At 51.0% G+C, this 17,748-nt stretch overlaps 2 protein-coding genes across 15 annotated transcripts, besides 4 other annotated features; one reads left to right on the top strand and one right to left on the bottom strand.

The window, feature by feature from the left end:
* Positions 1–2,158: 2,158 nt before the first annotated feature.
* On the bottom strand, positions 2,159–16,903 carry EOLA1 (endothelium and lymphocyte associated ASCH domain 1). Of its 14 annotated transcripts, none has more exons than NM_001324276.2 (6): positions 16,161–16,492; positions 15,419–15,485; positions 12,004–12,136; positions 11,621–11,902; positions 10,587–10,765; positions 2,159–8,088 (listed from the first exon to the last, which is right to left on the bottom strand). In NM_001324276.2, exons 4-6 carry the CDS (start codon positions 11,871–11,873, stop codon positions 8,080–8,082), a joined length of 441 nt encoding a protein of 146 aa, NP_001311205.1. In that variant the 5' UTR covers positions 11,874–11,902; positions 12,004–12,136; positions 15,419–15,485; positions 16,161–16,492; the 3' UTR covers positions 2,159–8,079. The 14 variants fall into 12 exon arrangements, with proteins under 14 accessions (NP_001311205.1, NP_001311208.1, NP_001165380.1 ...); NM_001324279.2 differs by having other exon boundaries at positions 16,212–16,492; NM_001324277.2 differs by lacking the exon at positions 2,159–8,088 and having other exon boundaries at positions 9,173–10,765; positions 15,438–15,485; positions 15,679–16,492.
* HSFX3 (heat shock transcription factor family, X-linked member 3) lies at positions 7,580–9,294 on the top strand. The gene is made up of 2 exons (NM_001323079.3): positions 7,580–8,134; positions 8,594–9,294. Exons 1-2 carry the CDS (start codon positions 7,652–7,654, stop codon positions 9,110–9,112), a joined length of 1,002 nt encoding a protein of 333 aa, NP_001310008.1. The 5' UTR covers positions 7,580–7,651; the 3' UTR covers positions 9,113–9,294.
* Positions 15,942–16,151: an enhancer, noted in NCBI's record as "active region_30016". NCBI's record gives its function as "activates an Ori minimal core promoter by ATAC-STARR-seq in GM12878 lymphoblastoid cells {active_cell/tissue: GM12878}" and the evidence as "EXISTENCE:reporter gene assay evidence [ECO:0000049][PMID:35858748]".
* Positions 16,899–17,089: a silencer, noted in NCBI's record as "fragment chrX:148621960-148622150 (GRCh37/hg19 assembly coordinates)". NCBI's record gives its function as "represses an EF-1alpha promoter that drives an FKBP-Casp9 reporter gene in an ReSE screen in K562 erythroleukemia cells {active_cell/tissue: K562}" and the evidence as "EXISTENCE:reporter gene assay evidence [ECO:0000049][PMID:32094911]".
* Positions 17,122–17,191: a silencer, noted in NCBI's record as "silent region_21043". NCBI's record gives its function as "represses an Ori minimal core promoter by ATAC-STARR-seq in GM12878 lymphoblastoid cells {active_cell/tissue: GM12878}" and the evidence as "EXISTENCE:reporter gene assay evidence [ECO:0000049][PMID:35858748]".
* Positions 17,202–17,511: a silencer, noted in NCBI's record as "silent region_21042". NCBI's record gives its function as "represses an Ori minimal core promoter by ATAC-STARR-seq in GM12878 lymphoblastoid cells {active_cell/tissue: GM12878}" and the evidence as "EXISTENCE:reporter gene assay evidence [ECO:0000049][PMID:35858748]".

Here is a 17,748-nt window from a genome sequence, read left to right as displayed (position 1 = left end):
AGAGGAGCTGGCATATCACATGGCGAGTGAGAGAGCAAGCAAGAAAAGGAGAAGCTGCCAGGCTCTTTTAAATAACCAGATCTCATGTGAACTCACAGACAGAGAGAACTCACTCATTATTGTGAGGACAGCAGCAAGTTATTTATAAAGGACCCACCCCCATGACCCAAACACCTCTCCCACTAGGCCCACCTCCAACATTGGAGTTCACATTTCAACATGATATTTGAAGGGCACAAAATACCCAAGCTGTTTCATTCTGCCCATGACCCCCCAACAAATCTCACATCCTTTTTGCACTGCAGAATACAAGCATCCCTTCCCAATAGTTCCCCAAAAGTCTCAACTCATTTCAGCATCAACTCAAAATTCCAAAATCTGAGACTCAAGGCACGTTTCTTCCAACTATGAGCCTGTAAGATAAAAAAACAAGTTATTTACTTCCAAGATACAATGGTGATCCAGGCATTGGGTAAATATTCCAATTCCAAAAGAGATAAATCAGCCAAAAGAAAGGGGCAACAGGCACCACACAAGTCTGACACCCAGCAGGGCTGTCATTAAATCTTAGAGCTCCAAAATAATCTCCTTTGTCTCCATATTCTGCATCCAGGGCACAGTGATGGAAGGGGTGGGATGCCAAGGCCTTGTGCATACCCATCCCTGTGGCTCTGCAGGTGCAGCTCCCATGGCTACTCTCACTGGTTGGAGTTGAGTGCCGGTTGCTTTTCCAGGTTCAGAGTACAAGCCGCTGGTGGCTCTACCATTCTCAGCCACCTTCCCACAATCCCACTCAGCAGTACCATGATGACTCTGTGCAGGGGCTCCAACCCCACATTTTCCATGAGCACTGTTCTAGTAGAGTCTCTCTGTAGGAGCTCGACCCTTGTGGCAGGCTTTTCCCTGGGCACTCAGGCTTTTCAACACATACATCCTCTGAAACCTAGGTGGAAGCTGTCAAGCCTTTTTCACTCTTGCATTCTGTTCTCCTGCAGACATAACACCATGGGGAAGCCACCAAGTCTTATAGCTTGTGTCCTCCAAGGCAGTGGCCTGAACTGTATCTGGGGCACTTTGAGCCATGGGTGGAGCTGGATCAGCCAGATGCAGGTAGCAGTGTCCAAAGGCTACAGAGAGCAGCAGGGCCCCAGGCTTGGCCCCCAAAACCATTCTTACCCACTAGGCTTCTGGGCCTGGGATGGGAGGGGCCTAGATTTCTGAAATGCCTTCAAGGGCTTTTTCCCATTGTTTTAGATAGTAGCACTTGGCTCCCTTTTAGTCGTGCAAAGCTCTCCAGCAAGTGGTTCCTCAGCATCCTGCTTGGTTTCTTCTCCGAAAATGCTCTTTCTTTCCCTACAACATGGTCAGGCTGCAAATTTTCCAAACTTTTATGCTCTGCTTCTCTTTTAATTATAAATTCCAACTTTAAGTCTTTCCTTTTCTCCTACATCTGAGACAGGTTGTTAGAAGCAGCCAAGGAACATCTTGAATACTTTGCTGCTTAGAAATCCCTTTGGCCAGATACACTAATTTATCACCCTTAAGTTCAAACTTCCACAGATCTCTAGAGCATGGACCCAGTGCAGCCAAGTTCTTTGCTAAGATATAACAAGGGTGACCTTTGCCAGTAAATTCCTCATTTCCATCTGAGACCTCATCAGCCTGGCCTTCATTGTCCATATTTCTGTCAGCAATTTGGTCAAAACCACTTAACAAATCTCCAATAAGTTTGAAACATTCCTGCATCTTCCTGTCTTCTTCTGATATCTTCTGATATCTCTGCCCATTACCCAGATCCAAAGCTGCTTTCACATCTTCAGATATCTGTATAGCATCACCCAACTCCTGTACCAATTTTATATGTTAGTCAGTTTTGCATTGCTATAAAGGAATACCTGAGGCTAGGTAATTTATAAAGAAAAATGTTTATTTTGGCTCATGCTTCTGCAGGGCGTACAGGAGGCATGGCACTGGCATCTGCTTCTGGTAAGGGCTCAGGAAGCTTGCAGTCATGGCAGAAGGCAAAAGGGTAATCAGCATATCACATGGCGAGAGAGAACAAAGAGCTGCCAGGCTTTTTAAAGCAACCAGATCTCATGTGAACTTAGAGAGTGAGAATGTAAGGTTAGCCGAGAGAAAGGACCAGAGAGAGAGAGCCCCAAGTTCAGGCAAGCCTTTATTAACCTGTCGGCTGCCCCCTTAACAGTCAAGGAAAGCAGCCCCAAGCTTACAGAATAGGGGGTTTACATTGGGGCAGGGAGTTTGAGGGAGTCCTTTGGTATGGCTGCATCCCGGGGTTGTCTGCTGGTTAATTCTGCCACATATCACCTTGTGATGTTTACGGTACTGGAGGGTGTAGGTAAAGTTTGTTTATGCTTCCCACAACCTCCCCGTTTGGTCCGGATGGTTTGTAATTGGGGTTTGCTTTATCGCAGCAAGGCCTGATAGGTAAAGTCTTCTATCAGGCTGGCTTCACTGCGGTGCCTAGATAAGGGCTTGGAAATGTAAGAAGGTTTGGGGGAAGGGTGGGCAGCGCGGAGAGGTTTGCGGGGAGTGTTGGCAGTACCAAGAAGCTCTTTGGGGTGGTTTGTACCTAACAGAGAACTCACTCATTACCACAAGGACAGCACCAAACCATTTATGAGAGATCCACCTCTATGACCCAAACACCTCCCACTAAACCCACCTCCAACGCTGAAGGTCACATTTCAACATGAGATTTAGAGGGACAAAACAGCCAAACCACATCAATGACTAATCTGCTCTGTTTTCTCTTTTTGCTTTCTTCAGCCATTTTCTGCTTACAAAGACAACTTCTTCTGCTCAGATCATTGGAACACTCATTGTACTTGAGTAAGGTTGTAAGTCTGAGAGTCTGACCATGTGGGCCTATTCTGGCCCTGTTGCTTCTTCACTGCAGAAACTGCACCATGGCTCAACCCCTCCATGGCCTAGCTTGGCTCATTGGAGAAATGGGCTCATTCCTAATATCCACCCAAGAGATGGGTGTGCACAGTAAATGACACAGACTAGCAGAGCACTTAGCACAGCAGATTGACTATGAGTTGTCCAGGTCTTTGGCGTTTTGAACAAAGAATTGAACAAAATGCATAAAGTAGCAGAGGAATGAAATGCAGGAACAAAGCAGTGAAAGCAGGAATTTATTAAAGTGAGAAAGCCCTCTGCAAGGTGAGAGTGGGTCTGAGCAAGTGGCTCAAGGGCCCAGTTACAAAGTTTTCTGGGCTTTAAGTACCCTATTTGAGGTTCTTAATGACTACCCCTTATCTGGATGAAGGATTTGGTCTGTGGCTAATTAAAGGCTGAGGTGAACTGGCACCCTATGCAGATGAAGGGATGGTCCCTGCTTGGCCCATGGTCAACAAGGCACCCTCCCCTCCCTTTCCATCTGAGATGTGGTGGAAGAGGGATGGTTGTAGGGAGAGTAGCCTCTGATCCTTTGTTACTCAGCATGGAGAGATGGGGTTTTTGTCTTTTGGTTTAGCTTTAGGAAGTTTGTGTTAATCAGCCTTAGGTTTCCTGCCCCCAGACCCCGGTATTTTCCTTTTGATCCAGCTTTGGGAAGTCAGAGTGAATTGGCCTTAGATTTCCTGCCTCCAGACCCTGGTGTTTTCTCTTTTAGGAAGTTAGCACAGAGTGGCCTTAAGTTCCCTGTTTCTAGACCCTATTTTCCTGTCTCAATAGGAGCTCACAATAATTGTTCTGTTATCACTGTTCTAATGTGGAGCCATGTCCAAGGATGCTAAACCCCACTGAGCTCCTGGTGACATAGAACTTGCCTCATCCAACATGTATTGAGGGCCACATTTGCACTGTGGTCTCCGCCATCCTCATGGGCCTCTTAGTCCAGAGGGGAGATGGCTCATCAACATGCCCAACCTCATAGGAGTTCAGGATCCACCCAACCAATGGTGGAGAGCTGTGCTGGGCCAGCCCCTGGGAATAAGCCTTGCCAGCTGACCTCATGGAGTGACCTGGACCCTGACAAGCTGAGTGACTTCTGGGTTGAAAAGGGCATTCCCATAGGGGAGGCAGCACAAGCACCCTTACCAGCAAGGAAGTTCACAGTGTGCTCAGAAAACAGCACCAGAGGGAACCAGAGGTTGATGTAGGGAGACCCCCTGAAACTATTGCTATGGAATAAAAGATGAAATGCTCCTGATTATTGTAAATACATAATTGCATGCAGGATTGTGTAAAGACAATGCCAGGTTGGACTGCCAGAATGAGCCAACAGCACGTGATGTGCTTTCCCCTGCAGAGAGCCTATGAATGGACGTGCAGTCAGGGAGGTTTCACATCACCAAGATTCCTATCCTAGAAAAGCAGATGTTCATAGCTCTGGGAATGGAATGTGACCCTTGTGGAGAGCCTATAAACGGATGCATGAGGAGCACCTGTCCATATGGATAAGATAGGGCTATAAACGCCCTCATCTTGCCACGGCTCTTCTAGGCCTCTTTAGGGTTAAGGCATACTCCCTTCTGAGAATTTCTGGTCTAACCGGTTGTCTAGCTTCACATCCTGTTTCTATGGATTGTTTGTAACCAGCTTTTGCTGCAACTGTTACTGCTGATTAATATCTTGCTAATCATAGGTCATGGAAAGACTGTGTTTCTGTTTTAAGGCTCTGTTAGAAACTACTGATGCACACACTATATCATAAATTCTTATCCCTGTATACTGTACTTCTGCATACAGATGTTATGTTAAAGAATTACTTCATCCCCATGTGACCATCTCACCTCATAATCAAATGACCCTAAATCCCTCACTAACCTTCCCCTGCCCTCTCACCAAACTTAATAATAAATGCCGGTATATCCAGTGCGTTGTTGGCACCGTGGGAGCAGAAGGCGGTGACCCCCCTGGACCCAGATTTTGCTATCTTGCGTGTGTCTATTATTTCTCGACCTGCCGATCTGCCTGGGAACAAAGAGAGAGCACCGTTGCATTGCAGACTGCTGGCCAGATCCCGCAATAGGTTGAGAGTTGTCTTACCCAGGACCCAGCATCAAGCAAATGCTGAGTGAAGGAGGGTTAAGGGCAGGTGGCATGGCGGATACCTGAGTGTGTGAGAAAGAGCAGCCCAGTGGCTAACGAGGCTGGGAAAGGAAGGCCTTGGAAGTGTGAGGAGGTGGTGCCTAAGCAACTGACAAGTTCCGAGCCACAGTTTAGAAAGACTCCTCTGGGGTGGGATGAACCAACTGCAGGGACACATCCTGGAGCCTGGGAGAGATCAGCAGGGAAGAAGATCCTGAGAGGCCACGGGGAGGATGAAGAGGGCCTGGCGGATCATGTGACAGGCAAGGCCTACACAGCAAGTCTTGGCCTGTGGCTGGCCTCATACCTTGGGGCCCCACCATCAAGAGCTCAGCACTATTCTTGATTGCTGCATAGCTACAAAGAAGCTGCAGCGAGTCAGCACTGAGACCGCTTTCCACAGGGCCACTGGTCCTCATACCATAGTCAGCTGTGCTCTGCTTGGGTCGCCTGACCATGATGATTTTATTCATAATGCAGCAACGCAGAGGGGCCATCTCAGGGGCTTTTGGAGCATGGAAGAGAAGACCAACCATTTTCCTCAAAGTGGCTTGCAGGTGGCAGGTGACTCATAAAGAATGTCTGAATGGTTGCTGAAAGTTGCAGAGCTCATCTTTGGGGACTGAGCAGGCTTAGCCAGAGGAGGCTGGATTTCCCACCATGACTCTTCTTGACTAGACTTAAGTCAGTGCCCTGAATATTCCCTCCAGGGGACAAGAGGAGCTTGATGTCTTAGACTCGAAATCCCAGTGTACATTCTGTGACTTAAAACAAAGGACAATGGTCGCTAATGGTCCTATAGAAGCCACATGACATAGTGTGACTAAATCAAATCAATACCAGCTCTTGGCTGAATGCCACCGTGTAGTTTCCCTAGTAATTTTCTTCATGATAATTCCCCTCCCACCCAATGGCCAAAAGCCTTTATATAAGTAATCAGCAGAGTTTATAAGTTCGCAAAAGCCACAACAAAATGTCATTCTCAGTCTTAAGAATTCCCCTATGAAAAAGCACTTTGGTATGTAAGTGAAAGATACCAGCTGTCTAACTGAATACTCAAGGATCCTCATTTAGAGATCTCACCAATGGCCTCTATTTTAATATTTAGCCTCAGAGTGTGTGTGTCTACAGGTTACACTGAGTCCTTGAACAAAACCTTTGTAAACCTGTTTAAAAAGCTTGGTGACCATGAACCAAGCCTGCATCCAGGCATTGGGGGCACCATGAAGGATTAGAGAGCCCTGAGATTGAAAAGCACCTTGGAAGAGCCTCTTCCAACCCTCTTCGCACTCAGGGCCGACCCTGAGTGGGCAAAGGGTGCTACTCAGTGGGACAAGGACCCAGGGTCCTTTCAGTCTGGTGCCTTTCCACTGTATCACTCTGTCTCCCTATACAGAGTGAATATTAAGAACAAAGTTGTCTTTAATGGCTAGAGAAAATGTATCACCAGAAAGACTGTTGTATCCTCTCATCTGGGGTTGAACATGGCTTTCATTTGGGTTTTCTCCCTCCTCCTGCCCACCGCAACACACACTCATACGCTCATCTGTTTTCAAATACATAATGATGGAACTTTTGTGCTGGATTACTTTAGTCAGGTCTAACTAGACAAGCAGAAACTTTTCTTAGGCTAGTCTGTGTAAAGCAGGCCTCAGAAATGAACATGTCTTGGGCAATGAAAACAGTATTTATGGGCAAAAATGAAACTAAAGGTAATCTCCTGTTGTGATCTGCAAGAGGGTGAGATGCAAGGGCAAGCAGAGCTCCACAGGAGACTCCAAAGCACAGCTGAGGATGTGGCCATCCAACCACAAATGGTGCTCTGGGTAACACAGTGGTAGACGAGTGAGGGGAGTGCTCCCACCATGCTCAGGCACAGCACCACTCTGGGGACAACTTGACCAAGGGGAATAAGAAACACTTTATCTGGGCCCACTGGAGCACATGCAACCAATCATTAGGAGTACCTGGAAGAGACCAAAGCAGAAAGGAGATGGGGGGATTGGAAAAGAGGGGTGCTACCACACAGATCAGGCCAAACAGCCTGGTAGGGACCACCATCTCCTAGAAGGCAGTCACCCATGAGGGGTCCATATGAGTCAGGCAGTCTTGGTGAAACCCAAGCTAGGGATAACTAGGGGCTGGCTCTTGAGCAAATTAGAGGCCAGCAAATGGCCTCCCCTGTCTTCAGGGTTGGGAGTGGCCATAGAGCCATGGTTTCTCAGCTCATCTGGGGCCTGGCCCTTTGACACAATGTGACTGTCAGAAGATGGGAGACTTTTCTGGGAACTTGAACCATGCCTGTTTATACTTTTAGAAGAGGGAGAAGCTGAAGGCCATGCCACCTGTCTACTCCCCCAACACCTGGCCAGGGCCCCCTCTCCAGATTGGCTGAGAGCCACCTTTGTGACATCATGTGACAAATACAGCAGATGATGAGTTAAGCCACTGGTTGCCCTGATACCGAGACTCTAGAATTTTGTGGACAGTATTTATTGGGCACGCCTACTCTGACTGAAGGCATTTTGGACTTGCTAGGACAGTGATAAGGGCCTTGGGTACAAAATGCTCCTGATTCTGGTGTAGCTCCATGGCGAGTCAGAACACTGAACAGGAATATGAAGCCAAGCTGGCCCCATCTGTTGGTGGAGAGCCAACAAGCGGGGGCCCATCTGGTTCTTCACCTGATCCAAATCCAGATTCCAGCGAGGTTTTGGACAGGCACGAGGACCAAGCCATGAGCCAAGATCCAGGCTCCCAAGATAACTCACCACCAGAAGACCGAAACCAACGCGTGGTCAACGTGGAAGACAACCACAACCTTTTTAGGCTCTCCTTCCCAAGAAAGCTTTGGACGATTGTGGAGGAAGACACATTCAAGTCTGTGAGCTGGAACGATGATGGAGACGCCGTGATCATCGACAAGGATCTCTTCCAGAGGGAGGTTCTTCAACGGAAAGGTGCAGAGAGGATCTTCAAAACAGACAGCTTGACGAGTTTCATTCGCCAGCTGAACCTCTATGGATTCTGCAAAACACGCCCAAGCAACTCTCCAGGAAACAAGAAAATGATGGTAAAGTAGAAAGCATTTCTGTAATCCCTTTTCTCTCTTTCTCAAACATATCTTCATAGGACACCAATTTGAATAATATACTGTAAGAGCTTAAGTGTCAAGGATAGCATTTGAAAATGTGAAATATTGTTTATTGAAAGATGAAAAGTATAGAACTTAAAAAGTATGGATTTTGATATTAAACTACAACCCCCTTAGAGATAATGTAAGCATCATATTTTGCAGACCTGCATATTACCTCTACGGGGTTGCAGTTTAATATCAAAATCCATGCTGTTTATATATTACTGCCTTGATCTATGAATTGTTTATCTTTAGTCAGGTCATGCTGTAGAGCATAACCACACTTGCTGCCACTTAAAGCATTCTTTTCTCCATTGCAAAACAAAATCATAATTTTGAGAGGTGGGAAAGGAATAATTTATCCCAGAACAACTAACATGTTTCATTTTGTTTCAGATCTACTGCAACTCCAATTTTCAGAGAGACAAGCCCAGGCTCCTGGAGAATATCCAGAGAAAGGATGCCCTCAGAAACACCGCTCAGCAAGCGACCCGTGTCCCAACTCCAAAGAGAAAGAATCTGGTAGCTACAAGACGCTCCCTACGTATCTATCACATCAATGCCAGGAAAGAAGCAATCAAAATGTGTCAGCAGGGAGCCCCCAGTGTTCAGGGGCCCAGTGGCACCCAGTCCTTCAGGCGCTCTGGCATGTGGTCCAAGAAGAGTGCCACTAGGCATCCCCTGGGAAATGGGCCCCCTCAGGAACCAAATGGCCCAAGTTGGGAGGGCACCTCTGGGAATGTCACATTTACATCTTCGGCTACTACCTGGATGGAAGGCACAGGGATTCTTAGTAGTCTGGTTTACTCAGATAATGGTAGTGTAATGTCTTTGTACAATATCTGTTACTATGCTCTGTTGGCCTCCCTCTCAGTCATGTCTCCAAATGAGCCCTCTGACGATGAGGAGGAGTAGGAAGGCTCCTCAGATTACAAGTGTAGACTCTGTGAACAGTTCAGAAACACTGCAAATTCGTGAAGTCACAGGCCACTAATGGCCCATAAAAGTTGCCATTTTTTAATGAGAAACACATTTTTGGTCTTAATAAAGAAAAACAAAATTCCATGGAAATAAATAATAAACAATTTAAATGAGAACTGTTGTCTGTGTTTTTTTTAACCTTGTATATTATATACATCTCATTGGCAGAAACCAGGGGAGGCTGGAAATCCTGTCCAAGACAGGCTTTGGTCCCCATTGTCCTTGTTTATTTGGAGAAGCAGCATTTTCACACACTCAGCAAAGGATGTTGCTAGGAAGTGTCGAGGCCAAGCCCAGGAAGACCTGGTCCCCTGAGATTGGCCTGCTGGTCAGGAGAAAGAATAGACGCCTGATTCCGGCAATATCTTCCTGTATCTTCAAACAGGAGATTGTTTCCTCATGGGTCCCTCCCAATGTTGCCAGGAAGTGTCTGGTCAGCAGCTCAGCATCCCTAGCCTAGCATCCAGGGGCCTCCAAAGAGGCCCACTTGAAAGTCAGGCCACCCCATCTGCCATGGGATGTACAACCACCATAACATCCTGGCTCAGAAGAGAAGGGCCACTGCAGTCAATACCTGGGGGGAAATGCCCATCATCCTCATGGATAACAACTAGAAACTTTGCTAAATCACCAAAAAAAAAAAAAAATTACTACAAAATAAAACAACACTACTGATCACATTTCCAAGTTAACCTCACTCTACTAGAGCTGTATTTTGGATGTATTGCTAGGATAGGAAGTAGCTGTGTGATGCAGGTAACACACATGCTTCAGAAACTGACAGACACTTTCAGAAGAGTGAGAGTAACCTGAAAGGACAGACAGCTGCTCTAAGTCTGACGTCCTCTTCATCCTGGATGAGTCGGTTGATTAACGGCTAGTCACTACCAGGCAAACATTCAGTGCCAGGTCCCAGACTTTCTGTATTGTCGCCTGGATGCTAGTTACACATTTGATGAGTTTTGACCAGAACAAATCAGGGGAAAACATAGAACAAAGCCTCAAACACTAACCAGTCATCTACAACACATTTATTTGTACAATCCAGAAACTAGCAGGACCAAAATTAGCAGCAATGCTGAGACATTTACTGGCAGCTTTGCCTTCTACCCTAAGGTCAAAGTACTTGAGACATTGCCTGTGTGCCTAAGGAGGCATCACACAAGGAAAGCCCCACCCCCTACTTCCTTCATCTGAGCAAAGGAACCTGTTTACATGCACAGTGCTTAGTGGGTGGGACTCTCCAAAGCAGTGGAAATTCAGATTTAACCTAATGTATACAGGTCTGCGTCATGATGGCAAATTGAAGGTGTCATGATTTAGCTGGTTTCTCTGGAACATTCCTTTCAGGAGCCCACACTTGTCACACTTCATGCCCCAAAGGGATCAGGTGCTCTGGGATGTCTACCTGGAATACATCCTTGCCTCCTTTCCTAGGTATGGGCTCCAGTAACCACCTGGGGTTTGAAATCACAGTCAGGTACTTCTGCTTCAGGTTGGTCAGTACAGCTTGATTTTCTAGTTCCACAACCTCATCGGGAGTTAAGTCTTCGGGGCATTGCAAAGTTTCCCCAATGTCAACGAGTCCTGTACACAAAGAGAGATACACATGAATGCCTTTCACTTCCATAGCCCAAGGCCTGCCCATGTGACAACACAGTTACTCAAAGTCACAATCAATAGAGAGTAAGACAGCATCAGCAAAATGACAAGAAGGGAGTCAAGTCCTTCTTCCGTAGCTTTGATAACGAACCAAACCCGATTCAGGAAACGCTGGGAGAGGCAGGGGGAGGGCTCCAGAAAGGCAGAGGAGAGGGCCTTGTCCTCATGAAGCCACACAAGTAAGAGGCAGGTCCAAGCCAGACTTCTGAGGGCAGCGGTTGCAGATTGGAAGGGCACCAGCCACTGCCTGGGAAGCTACAGGTGATGCCTGAGCAGGTCACCAGGGGACAGATGCTGATGTCGGGCCTCAGTCACCTAGAGGTTAGGGGACTTTCCCAGGGTGCTGTGAGTGGTGGGGCTGGGGCAGGTTCATGAAGCCAGGCGGGCAGCCCAACTCTAGAGGCCACCTGACCCATTCGGCGGGCTGGGCTGCTTTTCATGGTCTCTGCCACACATGTGCACTCACACATGTATGTGCAAATACACACAGCCAAACACCACAAACACCATGTGCACATGGCCCTGACCAGGCTTCTCACTGAGATCAGAAACAGGAACTGAGGCCCAGAGTGGAGAAATGATTTACCAGAACTCGTGGAAGCCAGCCATACCAACCCCCAGCCCAAGGTCCTTGCCGCCCCTTTGAAGGTGTGTTGCCAAAGGAAACTGTGTTATACACGCCAATCAGTTCAGATGACAAGAGAAGCCCCCAAATTCCCAAGCAAGATCTTGGGCAGCAGCCCTAGGCGTTGTCTGCGCATTTGGTACATTGTCACTTACCCGCTATCACTCCTCGACCAAACTTTTCCCCTTTCCTGAGCAAGGCCTGAATCTGAGCAGGAGTCATCCCGAGTCTCTCCACCAGCAGCTCCCGCCAGGCATCGCCTTCCCAGTCCCTGTGAGCAATGTGGACGGCGATGGTACAGTTCCGCTGGCTGCTCAGCAGGGGACGCCAGCGCGTCTCCACAGTCTTGATTCCATTTAAGACAAAGCCAGCATAAGGCTGCCGGAAGGAGAGGCAGCCAAACTTCATCTTCGCAAGCGCCCCGGGCCTCCCGTAGCCTGCGGAAGCACAGAAGCGCATCACACGCCAGCCCTCCAAGCTCATGGGCAGTGGCCTGACCTTCCCCCCGTGTCTCTCAGGTGGCCTAAATCGCACTGACCTTGATGGTCTCCTGCTTCCGTCTGTCACTGATGTCCAGCACCACAGCAGGCCCAAGGGAAGGGGCTGGGATTCGGCTGACTCAGGTCCATCCCATGGAGTCTTTGGGGCGGTCCGGAGTAGGGCGGGGACAGCTAGAGGAAGGCACAGGCAGGATACCATGTGGTCAGTGCTATGACAGAGGTCACCGAGCCCTAGGGCAACACAGAGGACAGAGGGCCCCCTTGGCCTAGCCAGAGTGGAGAGTCCGGGCTGGTGTTAGCCCTCTTCCAGCACAGAGGGAGAGTCCCACCCTCTGCTTCTCTTCCCTTTCCCCTGCTGTGCCCTGCCAATACTCTCAGTGCCCTGGCCCTGCCGCCACCAAGGCACTGACCTTCCCAGCTCCTACTCCAGGGCTGCTGAGCCCACATCGTTGATATCCAATCTCAGCTCTGTCCTCAGGATGCACCGTGACCTCAGATGGCCCTCAGTCAGACATCTCCTCTCCACCCCTCTGGGTGCCACCTTCCTCAAGCCCCTTCCCCTACCACTGCTCTCCACTGTCAGCAGATGCCCCTGTCCCAATCTGAGCTGAGAAAAGAAGAATGATAATCAGAACAACTAGCAACCCCACACACATGCCTTCCACGTGCCAGCCTCTGGGATGGCATGATCCTCGGATCATCAAATTGAATCTTCAAGTAACCCAGCAGGGTCAGTGGTACTGTGAGGCCCACTCTATGGCTGAGGAGAATGAGGCACCAGCCCACAGTCACACGGGCTCTGACTTCCCACAACTCTTGCCCAGCCTCCTGCGTGTCTGGCTTGGGAGAGGGTCCCCTCCTCTTGCATGGAGGACGGCCCTGTGCCTTGGAAGGAACCCTGGGCTCGAAACCAGAACCTCAGCCCAGTCATAGACTCTTGAGATGCCTCAGTTTCCACATGGCTGTGAGGAAGGGAGATAAGGCACCAAGAGCACCCAGCCCAGTACGTGGCACCTAATAGAACAGTCAGAAATAGTGGCTGCCCTCACCCCTCAGGCCCGTGGCCCCGCCCCCGGCCCTGAACTCCACCCTTGAGCTGCCCCTACTCCTCTCTCTGTCCTTCCTTTCAACACATAAACGCAACCTCTAGTACGCTCTATGATTTTAAGAAAATATACCCACCCTCATGAGACAAAGCCCTGATAGGGCCAAAGCTGCCTGGTATTCACTCCTTTCCCAGTCTGCACTGCAGCCTTCTGAGCTCCAGATCTCCTGCTTTTCTCCCGCCTCTGGGGTGAGCTGCCTCAGCTGAGCCGGTTGCCTGCTGTGCTCTGGACCCTGCTCCTCTGGCTCACTCCGGGCCCTGGGTGCCACCAGCCACCATCTATGCTCGCTCAGCATCCCTACTCTGAGCACACGCGCGCCTCCCACTCTGCCTCCCTTCTCTACAACCCTGAACAGCCGAGACCTCAGAAGAGCTGTCTACATGCGCAGTCTCTACTTCCTCTCTGAACCTTCTGCCCCCACCCCCACCTTTCTCCCTTTATTCCCCACCCCCCCCACCACCCACTCCACTGACTGACCTATCCCCACAAGCACCCATGGCCGGCCTCATGCCAGTCCTGTCTTCATCTTAGTCCATGCTCAGCAGCCCCAGCATGGCTGGGCACACTCCTTCCCTCCTTCTGGGACCCCCACGTTGCTCACCGTCCTGCTCTGAATCCCGTGGTGCAGGCCACCCCCCTTCAGACTCAGCCTTAGGTGGACAGGCCCGTACATACTCAGGACCCCAACCATCACCACCAAGTCCACCTCCCTTCCACCTCTGTGAGTGGCATCACCAGCTACAGCGTTCCTGCCCCAGACCTAGCTGCTCTCTGCCCTGCCTTTCTTTCCCACATCTGCGGCCCACATCCCGTGGCACTGTGTCCAAAACCGACATTGAATCTGATCCCTTTCCATAATCTCTATGGCCACAATCCCAATCCAATCCCCTAAAACCCCCTGCCTTCTGAAGAAGTCTCCTGATAGCACCCCCACCCCCCCCCAGCACTTGTCCTCTGCACTCTTGTGACCACACTGCCATCGGAATGATCTTGGTACAGGGACAATGAGATTATGTCACTCCTCTACTGAAACTTTTCAAGGGCTCCCTGCCCCAACTAGCACAGAATCCACACTTCCTCTCAGGGCACTCAAGGTCCCTCCTGATCTGGTTTCCCACCCCAGCCACGTCCTCTCCTCTCCCCTTTATTCACCACCCTGAAGCCACACAGGCCTTCCATCCCCTGAGGGAACATGCCAAGCTTGTTTCTACCTCAGAGCCTTTGTCAGTTGTGATGGGTTGCATTGTGTCCTCTTAAAATGCGTATGTTGAAGTCCTAAACCCCAGCACCTCAAAATGTGGCCTTATATATAAAAACAGAGTCATTACAGAGGCAATCAAGTGAGACTGAAGCCATCAGGGCGGACCCGCATCCAATGTGGCTGGCGTCCTTATGAAAAGGGGGATTTGAGAGACAGTCACGCACACAGGGAGAACACCATGAGAAGATAAACGCAGAGATAAGGGAGATGCTTCTACAAGCTAATGAGTGCCAAAGATTGCCGGCCAGCCGCCTGCAGCTAAGAGAAAGGGACAGACCAGATTGTCTTTCACAGCCCACAGAACAAACGAACCTGGCCACCACTTTGATTTCAGACTTCCATCCTCCAGAACTGCGAGACAATGATTGTCTGTTCTTTAAGCCAGCCCTTTTATGGTCCTTTGTTTCAGCCATCTTGGCAAACTGCTGTTCCCAACACATCTGCACAGGCTAGGGCACGAGTTTGCCATTTGACAGCACATCAAGCCCATTCTTTCCACCTGACAATCTTCATCTACCTTGTTTTTCACTGCCTGGGTGATATCCCATTGTTGGTCGTCTCATAATTTGCCTGACCATTCCTCCACTGATGGAGAGTTACAAGTTGCTTCCCACTTTTGCCACTAGAAATGACATTACCTCTAACACTCGCTGTGTGAAGACATGCTGAAGGAAATGCCTCGGCCGCCTGGCACGCCCATCTAAGATGCTGATATCTGCCAGCAAATGACTTTCCACAAAGACTCACCCGTGTACCCTCCACCAACCCATCCATGGTGCCATTTCCTCACACACTTGTGGCCCCTGAGCATGATTATTCTTCTGATGAGTGACCAAAGATAACCAGGTTCCTTGGTTCTGGATTACTTCTGATGGAGGCTGAATGTCCCCCACAGGGCCTGGCCACTTCCATCGGGATAAATGGCTACAGTGAATGTTTGCCTCTTTTCTGCCGCCCAGTTTCTTAGCCAACCCTTTTCTCGTCATCACCACAAAATCACAACAGACGCCAACTGTGTGTATGTGGAATCCCTAGTAGGAACTGATGTAACTGAAAAGGCAAGAAGGGGGTTGAGTCCCCTCCTACCTGGTGCTGCAGAGAGTACCTGCTTTACGGCCAGAGGAGGAAACACTCTTCCACTTAGCTTCTTTACCTGCACAACAAGGAAGATAAAGAGGAAAGGTCATTAAGTGCAAGACAGCAAAGCTGGTTAATGGCCCTAAGAAGGTCATGTACTTAGCAGGCATTGGAAACCAAGAAGAGCTGGGAGGCCTGGTCTTATCAGTAACACACATGTGCACATCACAGTTTGGTTCTGCTAATCACAGCAGTGGGACCCTCCGCACCTGTCTGGGTCAAGGACCACAGGGTGCACCAGCCCGCAGGGCAGAAAATCATTTCACCATGTTGAGCAGCATTCTTGCAGCCAAGCATGCTCCATTCGAAGGGAGAAAAATGACACTTCCCCTCCCATTGTCACGGGGCGAGTGTTTGGGACTCTAAATCCCATTGTCCTCAGCTTAATTCTGGGTAGGTCACGCTGAGCACGGCGCCACAGGCCACAGAGCTGTGCACCGCCCGGCCTCAGGTCCAGGCGAGCTCACAGCAGAAGGGCCAACGGGAGGCAGGGAAGACCGGACTGAGGTGGGGCCGCTGTGTGTGGAGCAGTACACGGGCTTTCTACTCGCAGACGCACGTCGCGGGTACACGCGCTTAGAAGGAGCGGAGCCGAGACCCTGCCGACAGCAGGGGACAGGAAAAGGCGCCTCGGTCGCGCCCCGCACGAGTTCCCAGCCCCACATCCAGGGAAACCCCAGCCCTCAGGTACCGTCCGCAAGAAGGCTGAGCACACAGGCTCCCGCAGCATGGGCCCTGGCACCTGTCAGCCCCGGCAGGTCTCACGGCCTCCGGAACCATGGACCCTGCGAGTCGTGGGTGTCTAGGGCCGACTCCGGCTTTTCGCCACAGGAATGAACAGTCCTCTGCTTCCCCGAGACCCAGCGAGGCCACCGGAGCCAGGACGATGGGCTCCCAAGCAAGGAGACGTGGGCCGCTGTGAGAAGAGGGAGCGCCTGGCTAGTGTCCAGGCTGCAAGGTCGTTGCCGCTAACTCCGGGAAACCAGTGGCCAGTGACAGGTGTTAGCGGTCTATAACTCTTCCGCTTTCATACAGCTCCCGTCATCCCTTTCACGAAGAACGTACGTGGGCGCGCAATCACGCATGTATGCACACCACGCACGTACGCGGGAGGCACGTACTCAGCCATGCATATAGACAGCAAACATTATGAATCTCGCATTCTCGAAGACACGCACTGACGACATCACGCACGTACGCACGCCCTGGCTGCTAGGAGACGCTATTCTCTTTACCTGGCCCTGATGCGCGCCAGCCAACCAGGCCAAGGCCAGGGGACCTCGAGACCGGCAGCCTCGACGAAGAACCGGAAGGAGGAAAAGGAACGGGAGGGAGGAAGAGTAAGTGGAAGGGTGGGACGAGGACACCAGGCAGGAGTTTTGGGCCCAGAGCTGCTATACCAGCAGGGAGGAGCTGGGAGAAACCGCTGGGGAGGGGGTGGAGGCGGGGCTGAGAGGAGGAGGGCGGAGCTGGGGGAGGGGCCGAGCGGGACTGACAGAAACAATTGGGGGCTGGGTTGAGGGCGGGGCTGAGATAAGAGGCGGGGTGTGGGGCAGGGCCGGGCGGGGCTGAGAGAAACCATTGTGGGCAGGGCCGTGGGAGAGCTGAGCGAGGAGAAGCTGCAGGAAGAGCTCGCGGACTCTTGAGAATCAGCAGGGGGAGGCAGGTGTCCGCTGAGAGAAGGAGGGAGGGGGAGAAAGAAATCACTGGGAGGGGCTGGGGGCGGGGTTTTTAAAGCAGCTGCGTGAGAAGTAGGGCGGGGCTGGGAGAGGCGGGGCTCTGGGGGGGCTGAGAATGCTGGGGAAGGTTTGGGGGCGGGGCTTTGGAGGCAGCCACAGGAGAAGCAGGTCGGGGCTGCGGGCGGGGCTCGGGGTGGGGCGGGGCTGAGAGAAACTGCTGGGGAGGGGGCCGAGGGCGGGGCTTTGGGAGCAGCCGCGGGAGAAGCGGGGCGGGGCAGGGAGGGGAGGGGCGGGGCAGGGAGGGGCGGGGCTGAGAGAAACTGCTGGCTGAGGTCGGGGCTTTGGAAGCAGCCCCGCGAAGAGCAGGGCGGGGCAATGGGAGAACTGAGCGAGGAGCAGCTGCGGGAGGACCCCTCGGACTCCTGAGAACCAGCTTAGGGGAGCGGGGGCTTGGGGAGGTGTAGGGTGGAATCACGAGAAAGCTCTGTGGGAGGGCCTGGTGCACAGCTCAGCTGCAGCGTGGAGCTGAGGGAAAGCCGGGCGTTCCTGGAGGAGGAGCAGGGCGGGGCTGTGGCAAAGAGGTGTGGGAGCAGATGGGGC

The sequence above is a fragment of the Homo sapiens genome, chromosome X (genome assembly GCF_000001405.40).
Source record: "Homo sapiens chromosome X, GRCh38.p14 Primary Assembly".
NCBI lineage: Eukaryota > Metazoa > Chordata > Mammalia > Primates > Hominidae > Homo > Homo sapiens.
The sequence above is the reverse complement of the archived record's forward strand: the minus strand, read 5'-3'. Positions and strand labels throughout refer to the sequence as shown.

Bases quoted from the DNA above. Each gene is read 5' to 3' on its own strand.
- HSFX3 (NM_001323079.3), top strand. From the start codon at position 7,652: ATGGCGAGTCAGAACACTGAACAGGAATATGAAGCCAAGCTGGCCCCA. The intron at 8,135-8,593 runs GTAAAGTAGAAA...ATTTTGTTTCAG, and splicing joins CAGGAAACAAGAAAATGATG to ATCTACTGCAACTCCAATTT.
- EOLA1 (XM_047442629.1), bottom strand. From the start codon at position 15,766: ATGCTTGGCTGCAAGAATGCTGCTCAACATGGTGAAATGATTTTCTGC. The intron at 12,137-15,437 runs GTACTCTCTGCA...GCCTTCCTCTAG, and splicing joins CTCCTCTGGCCGTAAAGCAG to CTGTCCCCGCCCTACTCCGG. The intron at 11,903-12,003 runs GTCAGTGCGATT...GTGCTTCCGCAG, and splicing joins GGAAGCAGGAGACCATCAAG to GCTACGGGAGGCCCGGGGCG.